Raw genomic sequence first — 16,147 nt, 5'->3', positions numbered from 1 at the left:
AGGACTAATGAGCTCTACGCTGAGGGCATCTCTGAAGGAACTGGAACTCGATGGCTGGGCTTGTCAGATTCCCATAAGTTTTCATGCAACAGTGGTGGGACACGAGAGTCAATATATATGTCCAACACCCATCTTTTCATTAGTGAAAAATTATTTTTACATCTCTTATGCTAATTATCAAGTCCTTAAGAGCAGATTTCCATGGCAATATTTGAAGTGCTTGGTAATTATGCCTGAAGTGTGTATTCCTGATCAGGATACTTCAAATATTAACTGCTGCTAGGATATAAAGGAAAAATTAATTTTGTTCATAAATCACACTGTTTATCTCAAAGTATTCTGAAAGTAAAATTTTACAAAGACATAGAATAATCTAAGGCCGAACTCAGGAATAGCTGTAGCCTTTATCTATTTGCATGTGTGCTAGTTGAAAAACATTGACAGCATTCTTGTAAATCTCAAAGCTGGGTTAACATGAGACAAAATGGTGAAGTCAATTTCTGCTTCCTCTATCCCCCACCTTAAACTCAGTGTCTAAAACTAAATGAGAAAACCAGCGTCTCCTCAAATGTTTCCTCTTCTAGGTATTTGCCACCACAATCTTACCATCTGTCCTGACCAGAGATTTGGGATTCATCCCTATTAGAACTCCTTAATCAAACAAATACGTTCATGTGGTTACTGTGGTGAGTTAAGTGGTACCCTCCATGTCCTAATCCCAAACTTGTTAATAGAACCTTACTTGGGAAAAGGGTCCTTGAGTTAAGGATCTTGAGATGAGATCATCCTGGATTATCTGGATAGTCCCTAAATCCAGTGACAAGCATCCTTATAAGAGAAAGAAAGAAGAAGATTTCACATGGAAAGAAGACAGAGAAGGAGGAGAAGGCCATGTGAAGAAAGACAGGGGCAAAGGTTGGAGTTACTCAGCTATAAGCCAAGGAAGACTTAAGAGGCTCACAGGAAGCTGAAGAGGTGAGGAAGGATTCTCACCCAGGTCCTTCAAAGGAGCATGGCTTTGCTGGCACCTTGATTTCAGACTTCTGGCCTCCAGAACTAGGAAAGAATAAATGTCTGTTGTTTTAGGCCCCATGTTTGGAGTAATTTGTTGTGACAGCACTAGGAAACTAACACAGTCACCAAATCCTCCTGAGACTACCTTTTTAGTATCGCTGAATCCATCCTTTTTTCCTCTCTTTCATGCCACTAATATGACTCAGATTATCATTACATTCCACACATATTTTAACTGATAGAAAAAGAAGTTGATAGGTAGAGCCAAGACAACCTTCGGATCTGAGTTTTATTAGGGCCTGGTCTTAATTACTCTATGCTTTGGATCTACTGTCTGCTCACACTGAGCACTTCTAGAAATGGGGAAATAATGACATATTTCATTATCATCATCAACTAGCTTCTGATCCACACCTGACAGTCAGTTATACCATGCAGCAGAAACATACATAGTTACATTTTCCACAGTTTGAAAAACTGCAGCTATTTCTCATCTACCCCTTGAAGAAGGAAAACAAGTTGCTTCATTTTTGCCGTGTATTTCTGATACTGCAGCAGCGTGCTGGAGAACACAGACCTCTCACGAATCTAAATATTTCTTCCTTCTCCTTGGACTAAGGAAAAGCTATGGCAGAAAAAGAACTCCATTGCTCTGTGGGATTAACCAGATTAAACCCTGAGCTGACTGATTGGAAGGAGACGTCAACAAAGGCTTTCGGGCAGAGACAGCAATAATTCCATCTGTAAGATTGATAAATAGTTGTTCAGTACCTAGAGGAATGTTTTTGAATTATTCTGAGCTTTAATGCCTACAAAAAAATAATTCTCTTTCCACTAAGGCAGGTGCCCATTGGCAGATGTTCCAGCAACTGTACCACTCTACAAAGTATAGAGATCCAGTCTCCTGGGGCTAATGAGGTTATTGATTCCTAAGAACTATCTGGCTTCAGGCAAACTACCTACTCCCAGAGACTGAAATCTATGCCAGTGTGAATATTGTAGTCTGTTTTCCCACTGGTGTACTGCAATTTCAATAGTCTTAACCTACAATGTAGGAATTTAACAAATACCATATCAATGGGTTGCTAATTATGGATTATAGGCAACGGTGCCAAGAATAAACTCCTTAAACCTTCCCCAAGCACTAGGATGCTTCAGAATTTCCCTTGATGGCTGTTTACACACTTTTAGAGTCTAACACTTTACCTCTTCCTCTCAATATGATTCATCTCCACCCTGACACTATAATAATAAGACTAAAAATATTACAGCATATCAAATTTGGAGAGAGGCAGTGAGAAAATCTGGAGAACTTTCCACTCAAAGTTTCTTCTGTTAATATCTATCACAGCTTCTCATTACCTGAGAACAGAAATCACAATGAATGTTTCTGCCTTTAAGAAGTGCAATAAATAAACTGTATTGTAAAAAAGACAGTTTTTTTGTGATTATATACAATTTGGGTGAGTATAGAAATAGGCCATTGAGGAGCATGTATATGTGCATAAACATAGAAATACATTTTGGCAAAATTAAGTTGCATTGTCACAGAAGTGTGACCATAAAGTAATAAGATTAGTTTCCTTGTCAAACTTGTGGAAATCATTTGTCATTCTGTATATGTATGTATTCTATAATTGTGTTTCAAATGTAGCAACCCTTAAGTACCTGGTCTCACAAATACATTGGAGTCTCTTCTCAATTCCACTTTCACCCAGTTAGATTTATGACTCTCATAAATGATCCAAAGATTCGGGCTCCATGATTACAATGGACACAAAGAGAAATTAGGTAGACATGAGGCATTAGGGCAAAACACATAGGCCCACCCTAATTGAGTAGGCAGCTACCACTCTCCATTCTAATAAGCCAGTTTCAGTTGTACTAGAAAAGTCCTCTTGTCAATAGGAGAAGTCCCAAATTTTCCATCATCTGCATGCCTGACACCCGCATGGCCGACATGCCTTTAACTACCATTTATGGACCAGGTACTTTATATACCTAATCTCTAGTCCCTATAGCCACTCACAAATGTGCATATTACTATCATCGTTACTATTTGACACATGAGAAAATAGACTCATAAAGGTTAAATGACTCGCCTAAGGGCCCACAAGTGATAAGTAGATGAACACAGATTAGAACTTCTAATTACCAATCTTCTGTCTTATTTCCAAGCCTTGTGACTCAAAGACAAAGCTTGTCATTGCCACAATTAATGTTCAAATGCAAACGTAGACAGCATAGGATAATAAGACTCTGTGTCACTCACACTAAGGATCCAATGAGGAGAGCAATGGAGCCCCCATACCTGGTAAGAGTGGGGAAAGAAAAGGTTTCAAAGAAGTGAGTCTGAGGGTCCTAGGGACACAGTGTGCCTTCTCACAATTCTACCCAGGGTGGGGCGACTGAATTCTCAAAGCCTTGTCTTATTTTATCTCATGAGGCAAAAGCTCACTTTCATTCTAGGGCTTCAAAGGTAGCCAGCACATTTGAATTACCCAATTTGTCATAAAAATATTGTTAGGAAAATGCCCAAACTATCAAAGATGAATTAAATTTTTCTGGCAGCTTGAGTTGGACTCATGTCTCTTCTTTCATTTGATATGTTACTGCTTGGTTTTTCATGATCTTGATATCCTTGCTTAGAAACAACATTCTCAGACACCAGGTATCAAGTAAGGGTTCAGGCCCCACTGCCTGAGTTCAAATTTTCAGAGTTTGGAGGAAGGCAGCCCAAGGGTCACTGGAATTATAATAACTTAAGGGAAAAAAAAAAAATATATATATATATATATACCAAGTTAGGCTTATGGCTTCCTCCCTAACTACCCAATGGAAAGAGATAGGGAGTAAGATAACTAGATGACATTTTTGGTCATTGTTGTTCCTAAAGGTCAACGTTTCTTCAGCTCTGGTTAAATTTTCAGCATTCTTACTTCTGCATGTTCTGTCCAGCCCCTCCTATTCCTATAATTTTGAGGAAGTCACTGAGGGAAAGTGCTGACTCATAAAATTAGTGACTGGAAGCCAGTAAGTGACAGCACTTACAGGCAAGTTTGTATTAAAAATGTAATGATGTCAAGAAATTTCTCCAGGGACTTTGGCTTTTTATTGAAGTAAACTCATTTTCCCAGGTCTCACTTTGTTGCTTTTCATATTTGCAACTTTAATGACCAGAAAAAAAACCCCACAAAAAACCCAAAACGAAACAAAACAAAACAAAAACAAGCAGAGGAAGAAAGAAGGGAGGAGAGAGGGGGTGGGGAGAGAGAGTAAGAGAAAGAAATACGTGCATTAAAGAAAGGATTTGTTATCAGTACCCTCTTCTGGAAACACAAGAATGTAGCCTGGAATCGAGCTGTGGCATTTCTTTGATGAGAAAACAAAGAGATTTACGCTAGCAGACAGCGTCAGGCTTCCATGTGTCTGATGTTATTTGGGGTTGACATAATGTAGTAGAAAGAGCCCTAAACTTAGAAATCAAAAATTGTGGATTTAAATCCAGCCTTTGCTCCTAACCTTCTACGACCTCAATATTTAAATAATTCGGTGTTTTAAGTATAGTAGACCATATATCTGGATTAGAATCACCAGAGGCTGTTGCTAAAACTGCAGAATCCCAGGATTCACTCCACCATCAGAATCAAACGGCAGGAATAGGTATGAATCTCAATTTTAAACAATTTCCAGGGAAATTCTTAAGTAGTGTTCTGGCTTCAGTTACCTAATCTGTAGGTAGATAACTACAGATAACTGATGATTTTCTTAGATTAAGTGACCTATAATGCCCCTTACACATCTAACGCTTCGTGATCTTATAAAACAAAACAGAAGGAATGATTCCTCAATGGATTAACAAACTGTGATGGATCCATACAGTGGATTAATCCTCAGGAGTAAAAAGGAATGAATTATTGATACATGCAGCCACATGCATGAATCTCAAAATATTTATGCTAGGTGAAAGAAATCAGACAAGAAAAGATGATTTCATTTTCATAAAATCCTAGAAACCGCAGAGTAATCTATAGTCACAGAAAGCAGACTGGGGATGGGGCAAAAAGAAGGAGGTCTTACAAAGGGGGCAACTATGAAACTTTCGGGGTGAAGGAAATGTTCATTATCTTGACTGAGGTGGCGGTTTCCTGGGTAAGCACATATGTCAAAACTTGTGAAACCACACACTAAATCTCTGCCGTTTACTATAAATCACTTACCCCAATAAAGTTGAAAAAGAAAGAAAAGAAAAAGAAAAGAAAAGAAAGAAGGAAGGAAGGAAGGAAGGAAGGAAGGAAGGAAGGAAGGAAGGAAGGAAGGAAGGAAGGAAGGAAAGAAAGAAAGAAAGAAAAAGAGAAAGAAAGAAAGAAAGAAAGAAAGAAAGAAAGAAAGAAAGAAAGAAAGAGAAAGAAAGAAAGAAAAAGGAAGGAAGGAAGGAAGGAAAAGAAAGAAAGAAGGGAAGAAAGGAAGAAAGAAAGAGAAAAGAAAAGAGAAAAAAGAAAGGGAAGGAAGGAAGGAAGGAAGGAAATAGACTAGGATCTTGGGGAAGTTTGGATATCCATCTTCCTGGATATCCAAAAAGATTTCCTGTCTACCTATAATAGACAGGAATCTGTCCTGAGTTAGAGGACAGGAAGAGTGAGGGTCCCTGGACTGAGAGCAGGGAGCATTTGTTAAACAGGGGAGGATCTGCAGGCATCCTAAATCGCTCCACTTCAAAGGCCAGAAAAGTAATTTGGAAGCTGTAAGAGCAGAGCTTGTGCAGTGGTCTGCGTGAGCTACAAGCCAGAAGCTTCTGCCTGCTGCCCAATCCATCCACAGCATTGTGGATACTCCCCACCTGTCTCCCTGTTTTGTTGCAGAGGTGGGTAGTGCCTGGATAAGTCCTCACGCTCATCACATTCAGCTCAGGCTGGCATCAGGGCTTTTGAGGCTGTATCATTGGTAAGGCAGTGTCTGTTTAAAATTACCTTGCTAGGCCAGGCACGGTAGCTCACGCTTGTAATCCCAGCACTTTGGGAGGCTGAGGTGGGAGGTTCACTTGAAGCCAAGAGTTCAAGACCAGTCTGGTCAACAGAATGAGACCCCCATCTCTACAAAAAAACAAAAACAAAAATAAAAATAAATTAGCTGGGCATGGTTGTACACACATGTAGTCCCAGCTTCTCAGGAGGCTGAAGCGGGAGGATCAATTGAGCCCAAGAATTCAAGGCTGCGGTGGGCTGTGAGGGCTCCACTGCACTCCAGCCTGGGCAACAGAGCAAGAGCCCATCTCTTAAAAAAATACATATATATTACCTTGCTAGCCCAGAGGAGTCTCGAACTGGAGTCAAGTTGAGGACTTGCTCCAGGATCTTCCAGAATAATGTTCCCAGCTCCCCACTGCCACCTCAGCTGAAACTGGGATTGCAGTCTGTATCCATACACTCCCTTCTCTTATCCTCCCCTCTCCCCCTCCCACAGAGCCCACTTTCTGAGCTCTGAGCTCTGCTTTCTGCAGGCTTGAAAGAACTTTACTGGAAGCTCTGGCAGAAAGTTAAATTGAATAAAGATCAAAGTTAATAAATTTCCTGGTAAACCCACAGATGGTCCACTTTAAAGGCAATAGTCCCATTCACTTCTGATTAAAATAAAAATTGTCTATAAAGAAACTCCCTAGAACAAAGTTGAATGATGGAACCATATTAAGAGAGCAGTTCATTACCCTTAAGTGAAAAATGCACAAAGTCATCATTCAGAGGCAGTAATGGAGTGGTGATGGTAAAGAGGTAATTAAACCTACATTTAGCTGAACAATTTGGGAAATCCTCCAGGGCACTAGAAATAGAATAGTCTCCCCAAAATACATACTATCTTCAGGCTACCTAGATGATCAGATTGGTGTCACATTTTATGCATAGGTCCAGTTACCTTTCAGTATCAGAGTGCAAACATTAGAAGCAAGTTCTGCCTATGGTCACTAGTTTGGTTTCTTTGTTTTTGGAGAAAGCATTTACTTGTATCCATTTCCTCATCTCCTAATATTTATCCCCATTAGCAGGTGCATGTTACCTGATCAATCTGGGGGAGGCATGTACTTGCATAATCACCTTTCTCCTCCCTACCCCCAGGGCCACCTCCCATTTCCCAACTTTTCAGAAACAATGAACTTGGTAGAATCTTATCAATTTTATTAAAGAATAGAAATGTACTGTTAATTATGCAAAAATTGGTGGCAACATTAATTAGACTCTGGATCACTGACATTCCTCATTCCTTCCCCTTTTCTTTCCATGTCAATGGAGTATGCAACCTTATTTACAACAAAGACTTTCTTAGGAAAAGTATAAATTATAACATTCTATTTCTAAATTCCTTAGCCACAGACTCTTCTGTAATCTTGGTGGGTCCTGTTGTTTGGAAAAGATGAAGATCTCCAAGATTTACTGGAAATTTGTAGGCAAACTTTGGTCCAGCTCTCCTGTGCTCTCTGCACTTTTTTTTCTTTTTTGAGATGGAGTCTCGCTTTATCGCCCAGGCTGGAGTGCAGTGGCTGCAATCTCGGCTCACTGCAACCTCCACTACCTCCAGGGTTCAAGCAATTCTCCTTCCTCAGCCTCCTGAGTATCTGGGACTACAGGAGCGAGAAACACACTTGGCTAATTTTTGTATTTTAGTAGAGACGGGGTTTCACCATGTTGGCCAGGCTGGTCTTGAACTCCTCACCTCAGGTGATCCGCCTGCTTTGGCCTCCCAAAGTGCTGGGATTACAGGAATGAGCCACCGTGCCCGACCTGCTCTCCGCATTTTAGAGATGGAAAGTGCTAACTGTGGAGGTGAAGTATTTCATGAATATATGCAGACACACAGCAAAGACAAGTCGAACCTGTATAATGATAGTGTGCTTTAGATTTTATGGCCAAAGCTAATTTTAACTAAACAAAAAAGGCTGCCCAAATCTCCAAATTCTTACCCCAATTGCTGCTGACTTAGAATGATCCTGGCGAGGTCAATTACCATCCTCTTAACTCTATTTTCTTCTGACGCTCTCTATCAAGTTCCACTAAGTATATCAAAAATTAACAAAAAACTCTTTGACTTCCTTAGATGGAAAGGAATCCAGGCAGATTAATAGGACACAGTATTGCAATTCTTAATCATTGAGATTGCTGAAGGCTGGCAGGTGTAATTAAACAGTCATCAGCCCATAAACTGCGGGTGAGAGTTCAGTGCCGATGTGTCAAATTGGACAAAGTTAACCAGAGGGCTCACCTGAGGAATGAAACTGGGAGACACTCAAGCTTTAGAGTGTCCCATTAGAATCAGGCAGTAATTATAAAACAGGATTCACTGAGAGCTCTTTCAAATTCCAGTGAAGAGCTCATTTCTGAAGCCATTTGTTAAGTTATTGCAGCCAACTATTGCCATTGCTGCAATTGCTTTTGCAGAGCCAAAAAAGAAACTAATTTTAGCTACCTCTTCTACCTCTTACCTTTCCTAGGAAAGAATTTTCTTCAGAGAATCTGAAAGTTGAATCTTCTAGTAATAAACACTTTAGAAGATAGAAAGCAAGAAAAATCTCAGTCGAGAATCTTTTCACAAAGTAACTAAAGAGGCATTATTGGAAACAAGTGGAGAGGAATGGCAAACTGTCACAGCTGTGGCTGCCTGCTCTTAAAAGTAGGAATGCAGTAGAAAGAAAATCCTTGTGGAAAAGTTAATATGACTGTGGATGCTAGGTATGCTGGTGCTACCCCTGGGCCTGGGAGTAATCACCCACTCCAACCAGCATAAACTCCAGGGAGCATGAGATCTGGATCTGACTCCCCTTAGAGCTCAACAAACACTTCTAGGGACCCACAGAAAAAGGCGTTGCCCGTCTGGGTGTATGATAGCGTTGTTTCGGTGGAGAAGCTTCTTCATTATTCAGGAACACGGTGAATGATTGAAACTTACTCCAGCGCCTGGGGGCAAGCAATTTATGATGAACCTCCATAAATGGTTTTTTAAAATCACCTTAAAATTAATGCCTTCTATAGCCCAGAAGAAGGTGGCGGAGGAGACGTGAAGCCTCTTGAGTTTGGACCTCAGGCAAGGAAAAGTTGGGTCTGGCTATAAATGGACCCTTGAGGTGAGAAACCTGGGGACCTCGGATACGATTGTGGAAGTGCCTGTGCTGCCCCCATGTGGACAAAATGGTTCTCTTCATGGCTTTGCTCCTTTGACTCTAGGTTGAGGGTCACAGGATATAGGATTGAAGTGGTGAATATTCTGGGATCTGCTGGTAACAAAAAGAAACATTGCTTTAGTGTTCAGACCAACACAAGGCTGGCTTTGCCATATAACCCTGGACCTGCTGGCATTCTGCACTCTTCTTTTTTTTTTTTTTTTTATTACTCGCTTCTTGCTACACATATTTGTTGAGTTCTGGCCATGGAACCATGATAAGCTCCTGGGATGGTCAAAAGCCTGAGGTGCAGTCCTTGCTCAATAAGCAGATAAGATAACCCTCACATCTATGAATGCGATCTGATAAGGTGGCAAAGAGAACAGGGAAGCAAAGTTGTGTGAGCACAGAAAGAATAGAGAAGGACTTATTCCTCCAGAGAAGGCTCAAAGAAGGCCTCGGGGAAGAAGAGGACTTTGGAACATGTTTTGAAATCCAGGAGGATGTCCCCATGTGGGGGAATAGGAGAAAAGTGCTGCAAACAGAAGGAACAACATAAACCGTAGCACAGGGACCTCACTCCTCTTGGCGAAAGTGCAGTAACCCTTGTGGCTAAAATAAGAGGTGACTGGGTAAAGGAAGGAGGACTCAGTGTGAGACCATACAAGGAGGTTGTGGACAAAACAGGAAGTGTTTTACAAATGCTTGAACTTTATCCTATAGACAGCAGGAACCACTGAAGTCTTTTAGAGCAGATAAGATGTGATCAAAGTATTACTTTTAAACAGTCACTCTGGCAGCATTGTGGAGAATGAATTTTGGAGTCGGTGTAGAACCTAGAAGAAGGAAAGGAGAACAAAGGCTACGGTAGTATTGGCCAGGGGAGAAATGATGAGGTCTGGGTGGGGCAATGAAGTGGCAGGTTTTAAAGCAATATTTCTGATAGACAAGTGGTAGGCTTGGAGATTTATTGGATGTAGAGGTTGAGGGAAAGGGAAACAAAGGATGATTCCCAGGTTTCTAGCTTGTGTCTAGACTAGAGAAATGTTACTGCCATTAGCCATGGGAGGAATTATTGAGAGAGGAAAAGATTGTGCAAGGGGGATATTGAGCATTTGTTTTTGGTCACGTTAGGCTCGTAACCAGGGCTGCACCATGAGGAATTGCAAATGTAGGTCTGGACCTGAAGTATTTATGACCCATTTTTATATGAGAAAATTGAGGCTCTGGAATGTTAATGTGTCCAAAGATTCCTAATAGGTGGTGATGTTTAGTCATCCTTGTGTCTCTGGTTTTAGCATAGTACCAGAAATGAATAAATGCCACGCTATTATCTGAAAGCCAGAGAAGAGAGAGAGGGCAGAACCTGGAAAACACCAGATTCCAAGGACAGTCCAAAGAAGATTGGGCCAGCAAGAAGGACTAAGAAAAAGCAAAACCCAGGAATGAGAATTCCAAGAAAGAGGAAGAGATTCACATGTCAATGCCTCAGAACTCAGAAAGAATGTAAATGGGATATCTGAGGTCATTTTTTACCTTTAGTAGAGAGGTGACTATGCAAGCTGGTTTGGAAATGACTTGGGAGAGAGTGAAAGGTGAAGCCATAGGAAAAAAAGTCAGACTAGACTTCTGTGAATTTAGACTTCAAGCAAGATAAGGAGAGGCAGTAAAAGAGTTGGAGATTGAGGGAAGGTTTTCTGGGCTGGATGGATGGTTGCTTTTAAAGAAAAAAGTAGATTTGAGTATGTTTATGGGCAGAGAAAAAAGCTCCCATGGACAAAGAGAAGCCAGAGATAAAAGTCAGTGGGAAACATGAGGATGGGCTAAAGAGAACAGGTGATGGGGTAACTTTACAAAGGAGCATTTACATCTAATCCTCCAAAACAGGAGGGGAGAAGAAAACACGAACACGGAAGCTCGCCTTAAAAAATCAGCTTCTAGGCTATGGTTATTTCTTGATTACATATCATGAATTTCTCCAGAAGTGCCTGATTCGAAGAATCTTCCATAGTACCCACAGCAATCGATGTTGAAAAGCCAGAAGTCCAGTTTTTCTATTTTATTTGGCATAGGCAAAATGAAGTTTTTACTTGCAGCTTTTATTTTCTGGTTTTTATTTTGAGCTATTTCAACCTGCAGTCAACAATGGAAAATATCAGACCAAAAGGGACATAAAAGGAAAGGGCCTTCCATTTCACCATTAACTTGCCTTCCAGGAAATACCACCACTAAACAGCCACAATAAGCCGCACCACAGTGCTTCCCCTCAACTCTTCATCTCTTGGTTACCCTGGACGAGTGAGGGACCATTGACATTCCCCACAATGGAGTTCAAAACTGTACAATTGACATTATAGACAGTAAAATATCCATTGGTATCTACTCCTCATTTCAATTAGAGTCCTCTCCCTGAACATGATCCTCTAAAGCCGAGCAAGAATTCTGAGGTCTTTGTTCTCCACACTTTCAGTTTTATGATACAGTCCGATCAACGAGAGTTCTAAACTTTACACACAATTTTAAATGGCAAAGCAGCTCAGGATTTTGACTGACTAAATATATTTCTCTAATTTTATAATAATTACCCTACTTCCTTTCTTACATGTACTATTTATATCCTGAAAAGATATCAGATCTGAGAGGGTCTACATAACTGAAGCTTTAGTTTGGATTTTGTCAAAATGGGGAAGAAATGTAAAGGATTTCTTTTTCTGAAACCACCTTTCCTCTTAATACTCTGGAGGTTTGATAAATGTTGCATATACCGCCACCTGCCTCCCACCCCCACTATCCCCAAATGTACCTTACAAAGTTTTGCAAATGGCAAGCGATGAATGGTACAAAGACCACCTGCTTTTGGCTGGGAAGAGCCAAGTCCAGGTCTTAACATGAAACACCTATTTTAGTCCTGATGTTTTCAATGGATATGAACTTTATGACTACAGGGTACACTAAGCCACACTGCAGACAACATTGGGATTCCTTTGCGATCAACCACACCACATCAAACTGCACTCTATTCATGCTCTATCTACAAGTCTTCCCAAACTTATCTTCTTTTCTTGCTAAACTTCTATTTCAAATTTTTTATCTTCCTCCCCTTTATATATCAGCATTCTCTAGAAGAAACTAGAGCATTTTAGATGGAAAATGTAGCCTTTATGTAACAAAAAGAAATTTCAAAATTGTATCTCTTCCCCAAATCTTTCTAGGTCATATATTGTGTCAAGAAGATAGCAGGCTAATGTCACCCTCTAATGGAATAGTGTTTTCAGGGATTTAACTGCTCAAATGGACCATCCTTAAGGTTATTCAACTTTTTGTTCTGACTCCATTTCACCAATCACCTTCTTAAAAAGATTTTTTTCACTTCAAATTCAATTCTAACTCAATCTTCTCTTGCAAACCAGTTTCCCATTTTGACTTCTTTATATTGTATTTCTAACAGTTTTTTAATAAAATTAATATATGTTGGTGGAGCGCTGTGGCTCACGCCTGTAATCCCAGCACTTTGGGAGACCGAGATGGGCGGATCACTTGAGTTCGGGAGTTCAAGACCAGCCTGGCCAACATGGCGAAACCCCATCTCTACTAAAAGTACAAAAATTAGCCAGGGATGGTGGTGCATGCCTGTAATCCCAGCTACTTGAGAGGCTGAGGCAGGAGAATCGCTTGAATCTGGGAGACAGAGGTTGTAGTGAGCTGAGATCGTGCCACTGCACTCCAGCCTGAGTGACAGAGCAATTACATTAGTTATGCATTGTTCGTATGTGACTATTCCTCTAAAATACGTGTTTAAAGTCTTTGGATTCAAGCATATTAAGATACCACTGTTTATTTAATCAATCTCTTACTATCAAATATGTAAGTTGTACCCAGTTTTTTCAAGTTATCAGAAATATTGCAATTAAAATCCAGCTATATTATTTAGTGTATCTTACTATTTCCTCAGACTGATTTCCTAGAATGGGAGGCAGACAGTTTGGATGGAATCCTAGATTTATTCCTTTCTATTGGTGTGACTCTAGGCAAGTTGTTGAGTCTTTCTTTGCCTTGGTTTATCTGCAAAATGGAGATTATGATAACACATAATTCATAGGATTGTTGAAAAATTAAACTTAGTAGAAGTTCCAAATAAGTATTTGCTGTTGTTATGAAAACCTTTAAAGTTTTCAATGCATATACAACATTTTAGGATGTTAAAACTAAAGTTTGACCCTGCCACTTGGAAACAATAGTCTCCAGAACCCACACTCTTAACTGCTAGGTTTACTAACACTCATGAGCATAACAACTCCAGTTCTAGGAATTTAGGCTGAGGAAATACATGACAGACACACACAAAGTAAAATACATGCAATAGATGTTCCACACCGAAGTTAGGTGCCTGAACAAAATGTTCAAAAGATAGACAAAAAAGCTAGGCTTTCTACTTTAGATCACTCAGGCAAAGACTAAACAAGTGCTGAGTGTGGAAGAAGTGGATTTGGGAGGTGATGTCTTCAGCTAAGCCATGCTGTGACAGCCTGCCCATCACCAGAGAGAGGGGAGCATGGTATCTCCCACCACAGGCTTAGTGACTTCTTCCTTTGCTGTGTCCCATCCTCTGAGAGGCCAGAAGATGCAATTAACAAGGAGAAAGAGGGAAAGAAAGGAGTGAGAGAAGGTGACCAAAACCACGGTGCAAAGAACAGGTGCCCCGTTGAACACAGACCTCAGGTGGGACAAGGAAAGGAAACGTCTTACCTGTGAAAAAAAAGACTGAAGTTTGATTAATAGCTTGGATTGTATACTCTTAATTTCTGAATCAAGCCAGCATTTGTGGCTTAGAACATAGGCCAATCTACTCCCCAAGAGCAAGCAGAACAGAGGGGCATCCAAGTTCTCAGCCAGTGAGTAGGGGAAGCTTCCACCACCAAATACATTTTTAAGTAATGATAGGAGACACAAATGAGGAATCCATTATGCTTGTCCAATGGAAAGGCTCCACATAATAATAAAACATTGCCGCCCAGAAAACTTGTCTCAATTTATATTCCAATGAGCAGTGTACAGGAGTCTCTTTTTCCCTCACTACAAAATATATGATCTATAATTTGGTTTCCCAAATAGATTTTTTTTTTTTTTTGAGATGGAGTCTCGCTGTGTTGCACAGGCTGGAGTGCAGTGGCACAATCTCAGCTCACTACAACCTCCGCCTCCCGGGCTCAAGCCATCCTCCCACCTCACCCTCCGGAGTAGCTGGGACTACAGGCACCTGGCACCACGCCCAGCTAGTTTTTTTGTTTTGTTTTGTTTTTTGTATGTTTAGTAGATACAGGGTTTCGCCGTGTTGGCCAAGCTGGTCTCGAACCCCTGATCCACCCACCTCGGCCTCCCAAAGTGCTGGGATTACAGGTGTGAGCCACCCTGCCCGGCCCCAAATAGGCTTTATTTGTGTGAAGAGAACAAACTGAATGGCTGACACAGATATATTGCTTAGCAAGTATATTTCTAATAGTAAATAAATAAATTGGCATTTTAATTTATCAGCCAGCCAGTGTTTTAAGAGATTAGTTAACACAAATAAGCCCCCTAGAATGAAGTCACTTCTCACAGAGATGACAATTCAAGTTCCCCACACGTGCCCAGCCGAGCAGTTCTCCAGCAGCCCCAGCGCGGGCAGCCTCCAAGGTCCTCCGGGAAGCCAGCTGGCTGGCAGGTTGGCCTCTCTTTAGCACCATTTAAACTGCAACAAGCAGAACAGCAGGCTTTGAGGAGTGAGGACATGAAATGTCCTCCGGGGACCAAGAAACTGGATGTTCACAGATCCAGTTTCTAATTGCAAAGCAGCTAATCGTAGAGCATCTAATCGAGAGGCAGCATTTGAACAAAGAGTGGAAATAACCCCAACGCCATTCAGCACGGAATGAGACCCAGGCCTCTCAATGAACAACTCCTTCCAACAAAAATAGCAAGTCTGCGGCGCCACGTAAAGGTGCTGCCAATGGGGTGTGTGCACATTACTGTGACAGGCAAACACAACATCAAGAAAACACTTAATCTTCCTGTTTATCCCCAGAAGGACTAATAACCAGAGTGAGAGGGAGAGCTGCATTCTTCTTCATTTAGAAACGAGCTCCCACTAATGCCTGGCTCTCCAAGTTTATAGACCAAATACCTGCTCGCACTAAAACTGCCACATATTGTAAACCTCACCAAGGAAGTGAATCCATCACGTTCTCACTCCCTTAAGAATAGTTTTTCCCTGGAGTACATAACCCATTACTGCATATCTTGTAGAAATCAAATGCAGACTCTATCTTCCACCACAGAACAAATCGGTTTTGCAGAAAAATGCACAAATCATGACATTTTGTTTTTCTTTCACTTTAAGGCTTTTATTTCATTATGGTTATTGTTTTCTTCTTTTTCTTTGTTTTCAGGCAGCAGTTTCTAAGGCATCACTACACTTGGATTAGAGCCACAGCTAGGGAGGGGATGCCATTCCCCACTTAGTCTCTAGCTACAGGGATGGTACCGAGGCCCGCTCCGGGCTACAATGAGAAGCAGATTGAGGGGCCTGCAAACCCCGTTGATTTACCTTGAACCCTTTTCTGACTCTTTGTCTCCCACTCTTTCCTACAGGTTCCTGATCTGATCCCTCCAATCAGCAGACATTTCTCTGTGATGTCACTAACACTGTCAGTCACCAGACTTGTTCTTTGGGTTCAGGGACTTATTATTCACCCTGTACCCCTAGGGCTGGTGCTGGGTGTGGCACATGGTAAACCATCAATGAATATTTGGAGATGCCAGGCATGGTGGCTCACACCCCTAATCCCAGCACTTTGGGAGGCCAAGGCAGATGGATCACTTGAACTTGGGAGTTCAAGACCAGCATGGCCAATATGGTGAAACCCCGTCTCTACAGAAAAAATATTAGCCAGGCCTGTTGGCACATGCCTGTAATCCCAGCTACTCGGGAGGCTGAGGCAGGAGAATCGC

General features: G+C 41.2%; 1 annotated feature.

Annotated features, from left to right (window-relative positions):
* Nucleotides 10,425-11,624: an enhancer, noted in NCBI's record as "CDK7 strongly-dependent group 2 enhancer chr2:192428730-192429929 (GRCh37/hg19 assembly coordinates)". NCBI's record gives its function as "activates an origin of replication core promoter dependent on BRD2, BRD4, P300/CBP, MED14 and CDK7 cofactors, with strong dependence on CDK7, by STARR-seq in HCT116 cells {active_cell/tissue: HCT116}" and the evidence as "EXISTENCE:reporter gene assay evidence [ECO:0000049][PMID:35650434]".

This window comes from Homo sapiens, chromosome 2, assembly GCF_000001405.40.
Source record: "Homo sapiens chromosome 2, GRCh38.p14 Primary Assembly".
Classification (NCBI taxonomy): Eukaryota; Metazoa; Chordata; class Mammalia; order Primates; family Hominidae; genus Homo; species Homo sapiens.
The sequence above is the reverse complement of the archived record's forward strand: the minus strand, read 5'-3'. Positions and strand labels throughout refer to the sequence as shown.